The following is a 9,075-nucleotide window of genomic DNA, read 5'->3' on the forward strand; positions in this document are numbered from 1 at the left end:
AGATGTGACTTAGGAAGATAAAGGGGCCCAAAGAGTTTTGGGGAATTTCTCTGAATTCTAGAGAATCTTGGGTGTGAATGAAACAGTGAACATCTAAGAGGGAAGCAAGTACAGCCCCTCCTTGGTTCTGTAGTGGTAATGACATGGCAAGTAGGAGGTCTCAGGGATTGTTTTGTCTGGGTAGTGCAAAAAGATGTAAAGCCCAGGCTTGACGCAGCTCCTTATCCAGTAAAAAGGGGTCCAGCTCTCAGAGTGCCTTCCTGTAGAAATCAGAACAAGTGACTCTGATCTCTCACAGGAATTGCGGGCCATGTAAATTACTGAATTAAGGGTTTAACTCTGGTAGCTATTTGAGTTGTATTTTTAAATTTACGTATAAATATACATATATAAATACTCTTATATATGAATGTATATATCATATAAAATGTGTTTTAGAAAATACAATGAGATTGGCGCAAAAGTAATTGCAGTTTTTGCATTGTTTAAATTTGGCATTTGATATTAGAATACATTCTTAAATAAATGTGGTTATGTTACACATTTTCATGCATGTCTTGTTTTTTTTTTTTTGCTAATGACTTATTACTTGCTGTTTATTTTATATTTATTTTAGACTACGGAAATGATGTTAGACCAAAAGTAAATTGGAGCTTTTCAAAATGGGTCATAAAGCAGTGGAGACAACTCGCAACATAAACAACACATTTGGCCCAGGAACTGCTAATGAACATACAGTGCAGCGGTGGTCCAAGAAGTTTTGCAAAGGAGACAAGAGTCTTAAAGATGAGGAGCATAGGCCAGGTGCGGTGGCTCACACCTGTAATTCCAGCACTTTGGGAGGCTGAGGCGGGCGGATCACGAGGTCAGGAGATTGAGACCATCGTGGCTAACACGGTGAAACCCTGTCTCTACTAAAAATACAAAAAAAAATTAGCCACGCAAGGTGGTGGCCGCCTGTAGTCCCAGCTACTCGGGAGGCTGAGGCAAAAGAATGGCGTGAACCCAGGAGGTGGAGCTTGCATTGAGCCGAGATCGCGCCACTGCACTCCAGCCTGGGCGACAAAGCGAGACTCTGTCCCCCCAAAAAAAAAAAATATGAGGAGCATAGTGCCTGGCCATCAGAAGTTGACAACGACCAATTGAGAACAATCATTGAAGCTGATCCTCTTACAACTACATGATAAGTTGCTGAAGAACTCAACGTTGACCATTCTATGGTCATTTGGCATTGGAAGCAAATTGGAAAGGTGAAAAAGCTCCATAAATGGGTGCCTTATGAACTGGGTGAAAATGTAAAAAATCGTCATTTTTGAAGTGTTGTCTTCTCTTATTCTACGCAACATCAACGAACCATTTCTCAATCGGATTGTGACATGTGATGAAAAGTGGATTTTATATGACAACCAGCAATGACCAGCTCAGTAGGTGGACTGAGAGGAAGCTCCAAGGCACTTCCCAAAGTCAAACTTGCACCACAAAAAGGTCATGGTCACTGTTTGGTGATCTGCTGCCAGTCTGATCCACTACAGCTTTCTGAATCCTGGCAAAACCATTACATCTGAGAATAATGCTTGGCAAATCAATGAGATGCATGGAAAACTGCAATGCCTGCAGCCAGCATTGGTCAACAGGAAGGACCCAATTCTTCTCCATGACAATTCCCAACTGCATGTCGCACAACCAATGCTTCAAAAGTTGAACGAATTGGGCTATGAAGTTTTGCTTCATCCGCCATATTCACATGACCTCTTGCCAACCGATTACCACTTCTTCAAGCATCTAGACAACGTTTTGCAGGGAAAATGCTTTCACAACCAGCAGAATTCAGAAAATGCTTTCCAAGAGTTCGTCGAGTCCTGAAGGAAGGCTTGTTATACCTACAGGAATAAACAAACTTATTTCTCATTGGCAAGAATGTGTTGACTGTAATCGTTCCTATTTTGCTTAATAAAGATGTGTCTGAAATTAGCTATATGGATTTAAAATTCACAGTCTGAAACCGCAATTACTTTTGTACCAACCTAATATGTATATATTTGTGTGTGTGTGTGTGTATATCTAAAGTTATAGTCTTCTCTAAGTAGTAGGTAAAAAGAGTGAAATTATTTTCAGTTATTCTTCTGTTCTCTAGTCTTTACTCACTATCTCAACCTCAACATCCATGCCATTTTAGACTCAGCTTTTGTCTTTAGCTCCTTCACCTAGAGCTTGAATATGAGTTTTCCGTATCCTGAGAATAAAACCCTTTGCACTGCTGGGAGTAGCATCTGGGCAGCACCTAAAACGAGGATCCCTATAAAGAAGACCTGACCTGGGGAGACGGTTGACAGACAGAAAACCTGAGATAAGGGAGGCAAGACTTGCATATGGAAAATCTCTGGGAGACTCTGGAGAAGAGAGGACTAGATATGCTTAGACATACATTGTTTCTAAGGAAACTGTGTATGTCAGCATAATAAGCTTTTGATGATAGGTTAATTTGGCCACTTCTTTATTATTTATCTATTTTTAACTTTTAATTAAAAAGTAAACTTTAATGTCGAAAATGCAAACTTGGGGAAGGCAGAAAGATCACACACAAGGCTATCACTTCACAATTGGAAGGTTGCACAGCGGCCGGGCAGAGATGTTCCTCACTTCCCAGACGGGGCGGCTGGGCAGAGGGCTCCTCACATCCCAGACAACGCGGGGGCCGGGCAGAGGTGCTCCTCACATCCCAGATGGTGAGGGTTGGGGGACCGGGCAGAGGTGCTCCTCACATCCCAGACAGGGCGGTGGCCGGGCAGAGGCGCTCCTCTGCCAGATGGTGGGCATCTGGGCAGGGGAGCTCCTCACTTCCCAGACTGGGTGGCAGCCGGGCAGAGGCAATCCTCACTTCCCAGACGTTGGGCAGCCGGGCAGAGGTGCTCCTCACTTCCCAGACGGGGTGGCCGGGCAGAGGGGCACCTCACTTCCCAGACGGTGTGGCGGCCAGGCAGAGGTCACTTCTTTATTAAGAGGTTGACCAGAATTTGGATTCATGAGCAAATAGATGTTAAAGCAGCTGTCCTACTGTAGAAAAATAAATAAATAAATAAAATAATACTTGTGTGTGTATATATATATATAGAGAGAGAGAGAGAGAGAGAGAGAGAGAGATGGACTCTTGCTCTGACGCCTAGGCTGAAGTGCAGTGGTGCAATCTTGGCTTACCACAACCTCTGTCTCCCGGCTTCAAGCGATTCTCCTGCCTCAGCCTTCCGAGTAGCTGGGACTACAGGTGTGCGCCACCACACCCAGCTACTTTTTGTATTTTTAGTAGAGACGGGGTTTCACCATGTTGGCTAGGCTGGTCTCGAATTCCTGACCTCTGGTGATCCATCCGCCTCGGACTCCCAAAGTGCTGGGATTACAGGCATGAGCCATTGCGCCTGGCTGAAAGACTATTTTTAATGATCCAGACCATCTGACCTCAGGCACAGCAGCTACCTTGGCTGTTACACACCTTTACCAACTTGGAATTAACAATGGTGGTATGACGTCTTGATCTCCTGGAAAAATCTAAGAATTAAAAACCACAGGTGCTAGTGCTGGTTCTGAAAGTTGAAGTTCATCCCTTCCCCTCTGTGACAGCATTTCACGATGTGTAAAGATATTTTTGTGCATGACAATAGATATTGTTTCCCAGGATAATAGCTTACTGACCAAAGACAGTTATAGAACAGGCTTCAAGATGGCTCACTACAGACATCTCATACTCACCTTCTCCACAAAGAACCAAAATAGTGAGCAGATAGTAACACTTCAAATAGATCGTCTGAGAGAGAACACTGGAATTCAACAGAGAAGTGACAGGAAGCCCCAAAGCAGGGAAGGAAAGATAAATGAGGCAGCCTGCTGGGTTGAGACTGACTGGGGACCTGGAGAGTCTCCCCATTGTGAGGAAAGAGTAAATCAGAGACCCCCCCAGCGGTCCACATTCCCACCATAGACTCCTGCAAACATAGTCACTGGAGAGTCTCTTGACTATAGCAGGCCCTGAAGCTGATATAGGGAGCTTCCTGGAGACCACACAACGCTCCAGCAAGGAAGCTCACAGTGCGTCCCTCACAGCCCAGAGTCCTATGCAGTTACAGCAAGGTGCCATTTTAAGAGCTCATCCCTCAATAGACTGCAAAGAACCAAGGCATGGGCCGCCAACAGTGACTCCGTTGCCCCTGGCAGTGGAGCCACCATGCATTTTCACATGCCCAGATTCCCCTGCCTGCAGCTTCTGACACTCTGGGTTGCCGCCAGCAGGGCTGAAGTGGCGAGTGGGAGGGAGGTTGCTGCTGCCGGGGCTGAGGAACAAGCAAAGTGAGGGCTGCCAGCACAAAGGCCGAAATATGAACAAAGTGCACGCTCCTCACCTGCCTGCCTGCGGCTGCCACTGAGAGCAACACTGCCCTCTTCAGTAGCAGCTGTTGCTACCCCCCAGCTGAACATTCTACCCAGATTCTGGGGACCACCCTGACTCTGCCTACCACAGCCAGTGCCTGCACTGCCAGGGAACTGAGGACAAGCCCCCGTGGCCCAGCTTCACTCCCTGCTCCCAGTGCCAGAGCATGTAATAAAGTGGCCTGGGGACCACCCAGGCCAGTCCACCACTGTCGGCCTGGCAGCATCAACCTCCCTCCCACTCGCCACTTCAGCCCTGGTGGCAGCAACCCAGAGTGTCAGAAGCTGCAGGCAGGGGAATCTGGGCATGTGAGCACTCCTCCCAAGTGCCTGCAGTTGGACACACCCACCCTGCTACTACCACCATGGCTAGAATCCATCTGCATGTACTACCTGTGGGCCTGGAAATTGACCCACCTAGCCCAACACAGCCACTGTGCAGTGTGCACCACTCAAGACTCGGAGAGTTGTCCCACCACTTAACTGCCATTACCTGGGCCACATTTGCTGTTCAGGAGCCCAATAACTTACCTACTTCCTCCATTATAAGAATCCAAGCAAGCTACCTAGAGACTCAAGAATTGGCCCACCTGACCTGCTAATACCACTGCCTGCATATGCCACCCTAGATCCCAAGGACAGGCACACTCAGGCCACCCTTGCCACCACTGGGTTCTGAAGACTGGCCCACCTGACATCCCTGTCTCAAGCAAAATTCACTGCAGCCTTCACTAACAATAACCCCTTAAGCCACCAAGAAAATCACAGACACCATTGATTTTGTTTACAGAGGAACTCATACAGAAACTACGCTACTGCATGCACCAAGAATCAAAACCAAAGTGTCCTACTCGACCAACACCATAGATATATCTTCAAGAAAAATCCTCTCCTATGAAAGCAAATTCAAAAAAATTAAAGGAAGCAATTGTCTCACCAAATATGCATATATCAACATAAGGACATAGGAAACAGAGAAAAGCAAGAAAATAAGGCATCTCCAAAGGAACACAATAATTCTCCAGCAACAGATCCTAATTGTAAAAAAATTACAAAATCCTAAAGAAAGGATTTAAAATATTGATTTTCAAGAAGTTCAGTGAGATACAAGAGAATACTACACAATACAAATTAATCATAAAAATAATGCAGAATATCAATGAGAAATTTGCCAGAAAGATAAAGATCATTTAAAAAAAAAACAGAAATTCTAGAACTAAAAAATTGAATGAAATATAAAGTACATTTAAAAGCTTCAACAATACAGTGGATTAAGCAGAGAAAAGAATCTCAGAACTTGAAGACAGGTCTTTAAAAATAACCCAATTAGGCAAAAATAAAGAAAACAGAATTTAAAAGAATGAGCAAACACTATGTGATATATGGGACAACACAAAGCCACCAAATATTCAAATTCTCTGAATACCAGAAGGTGAAGAGAAAACAAAAGAGTTCAAAAATGAATTTAATAAAAAATAGATGAAGACTTCCCAAGTCTAGCAAGATATTTAGACATTTAGATACAGAAAGCTCAGAGATTCCCAAACAGATACAGTGCAAAAAGGTATTCTCTATGGCACATTATAGTCAAACTGTCAAAAGTCAAAGGGAAAAATTTGGAAAATAGCAATACAAAAGCATCTAGCCACTTATAAAAAAAAACAAAACAAAACCCTAACAGATGATTTCTCAGCAGAAACCTAACAGACCAGAGGAGAATAGCATGATACGTTCAAAGTGTTGACAGAAAAATCTGTCAGCCAAGGATGACTCAGTAATATTCTTCTTCATAAATGAAAGAGAAATTAAGTCTATCACAGACAAGGAAAACCTGAAGAAATTGATCACCACCAGATGGGCCCTACAAAAACTGCATAAGAGTCTTACACCCGGAAGTGAAAGAACAGTATCTACAATCATAAAAACACATGACAACATAAATACCCCCGGTAGAGCAAACATATGAAAAAGGAAAAGAAAAGACTCAAATATTACTACTACTGAAAACCACAATGACGAATATTAAGAGAGAAAAAAAGGAACAAAGTATATACAAAACAACCAGAAATGAATTAATAAAATGAAAGAAATAAGACCTCACATATCAATACTAACCTTAAATGTAAATATATTGAAATTTCCTCTTAAAGAATATAGTATAGACTGAATGAAAGGATAAAAAAACTCAGCAAACTAAGCCCAATGTTAGCAGAAGGAAAATAATAATAGAGATCACAGCAGAACTAAATAAAATAGAGACTTAAAAAAATACAAAGGTGAATGAAACAAAAAGCTGATTTTTGAAAATATAAACAAAATTAATCAACCACTTGTGAGACTGGCCAAGAAAAGAAAGAAAGAAGACCTAAAAAAAAAAATCAGAAATGAAAAAGGAAACATTATAACTGATACCTCAGAAATACAAACGGTCATTAAAGACTATTATGAACAATTACACACGAACAAACTGGAGAACTGAGACAAAATGGATAAATTCCTGGACACATACAATTTACCAACATTGAGTCAGGAAGAAATAGAAAACCTAAACAGACCAATAATAAGTAATGAGATGGAAACCATAATAAACGTCTCCCAACAAAAATCCAGGACTGAATAGCTTCACTGCTGAATCCTACCAAACTTTCAAAAAATAAATAACACCAGTTCTCCTCAAACTATTCCAAAAAATGAAAAGGAGAGAATTCTCCTTTCATAAGAATGTAACTCATTCTTACAAAACCAGTATTACATTGTTACCAAAAGCAGACAAGAATGCAACAACAACAAAAAAGAAAACTATAGGATAATACCCCCGGTGAACACAGATGCAAAAAATCCCAACAAAAATACTCACAAACCAAATTCTACAGCACATCGAATAAATAATAAACCGTGATCAAGTGGGATTTATCCCAGGGATGAAAAGATGGTTCAACGTATGCAAATCAATAAATATAAAACATCACATCGACAGAATAAAGGACAAAAACCATGTAACAATTCTTCTCAATAAATGCAGGAAAAGCATTTCATAAATTTTAACATCCCTTGATGATAAAAATTCTCAACAAGCTAGGCATAGAAAGAACATACCTCAACATAATAAAGGCCACATATGACAAGCCCACAGCTAACATCATTCTGAATAAGGAAAAGCTGAAAACCTTTTCTTTAAGAACTGGAACACAAGATACCCACTTTCACCACTCTTATTCAACATAGCACTGCAAGTCCTCGCCAGAACAATCAAGCAAAAGCAGAAAATAAAAAGCATCTAGTTGTTTTGTGTGTTTGTTTGTTTTGTTCAAAGGGGCAGATTAGAGGCATTGCTAGCATACCTTTCCCACTTGGAGGGACGAAATAGCGTGTAGCGATTCACACTGTGAAATTTTTTTCAAGAAGCAACACAGGAACTGAACAGTAAAACTGAAGGAATTACATACCCTTTGAAGGAAGCAGGAGGCTGCAGCCCACACTGTGAGTCAGGTGAAGGCTTGCAAGTCCCCAGATTGTGAGAGAAGGAGAGACTGCCTCTGAGACATACACCCCCACTAGGGACCCTGAAAGTCCAGGCCATAGGGGAAGGCCCTAACCCCACCCAGCACAGGAACCAACTTTGGGAGGGTTGTGGAATATAAAAGTAGGAGCAGCAGTGGGAAGACCCTTGCATGCATTCCCAGATCCCAGTGCGAGCTGGGGGACAGCTATTCCTTACTGTTCTTCACAGGGGTTCCTGCAGAGGACTGCCAAAAAGTTCAGGAAGTGGTCGCAGGTTGAAAGAAGTCCCCAGCTGGGTATCATGATGATGTAACCTCAGATGGGGATGAACTCCCTTGGTCAGGGCTGGAGTGAGCGGGAGAGTGAAAAGTAGGCTGCAAGTGTAGGAGTCATGAATGGAGGAGCCAGGCGTCCAGCTTTGCAGCCGATGGGGAGGGGCGTGGCCTGAAAGCCGCAATTTCTGTCTTCACAGGGAAAGCTTATGACTCAGGGTAGTTTCAGGCTGACTGGAACTCAGCTCGCTCACAGTAGTCTGGCTCCCAGGGACTCCCACTTCTAGGGGAAGGGAGAGTGCACCACACCAAGGAAACGCCCTGTGGGACAAAATAATCTGGATGGCAGGCCTTGAACACTGGATCATTTTGCTGGTGTAGTTTCTTTCAGCAGAGGCACAGTTGCAGTGCTGGACCCAGCAGAAAAAGTCTTCAGCTCTATCCCAATAGTCAGACAGCCCTGATGCACATGAGGGGTCTTGGAGAAGAAAAAATCTTTCCTCACTTGTCTACCACTGTATGCACAGTGGTGCTTCTTCCACAAGATCTCAGCATGAGTGCAACTATAGACAGCCTTTCTGGGATCTATCAGGGTGACTGCATCCCCACAAAAGGAGCACCCTCCAGGTTCAGGCTTGCATGAGAGACAGAGTCACAGTTCTTCTCTGCTTGGAACATCAACATTCCTACAGATGAAAAGGGGTGCCTATCTGATGTGAGTAGCCAGAGCACTGAGACAGGAGTGTGTCTGAGAGGTGGATACCTTTCCTGCTGACCCAGCTGGGGAGCTGAAGTAGCTCCAACTCTTTCCCCTGATAAGACCTTAGTGCTACAGACTGAGGCCTCCTCCACCCACCTCTGTCAAGGTTGCAACTTCATTTAT

General features: G+C 43.3%; 2 annotated features.

Annotated features, from left to right (window-relative positions):
- Positions 7,850-8,351: an enhancer, noted in NCBI's record as "H3K4me1 hESC enhancer chr17:13574799-13575300 (GRCh37/hg19 assembly coordinates)". NCBI's record gives its function as "activates a minimal SCP1, AML or CMV promoter by ChIP-STARR-seq in primed H9 embryonic stem cells {active_cell/tissue: H9 hESC(primed)}" and the evidence as "EXISTENCE:reporter gene assay evidence [ECO:0000049][PMID:30033119]".
- Positions 8,352-8,851: an enhancer, noted in NCBI's record as "H3K4me1 hESC enhancer chr17:13575301-13575800 (GRCh37/hg19 assembly coordinates)". NCBI's record gives its function as "activates a minimal SCP1, AML or CMV promoter by ChIP-STARR-seq in naive H9 embryonic stem cells {active_cell/tissue: H9 hESC(naive)}" and the evidence as "EXISTENCE:reporter gene assay evidence [ECO:0000049][PMID:30033119]".

The sequence above is a fragment of the Homo sapiens genome, chromosome 17 (genome assembly GCF_000001405.40).
Source record: "Homo sapiens chromosome 17, GRCh38.p14 Primary Assembly".
Lineage (NCBI taxonomy): Eukaryota > Metazoa > Chordata > Mammalia > Primates > Hominidae > Homo > Homo sapiens.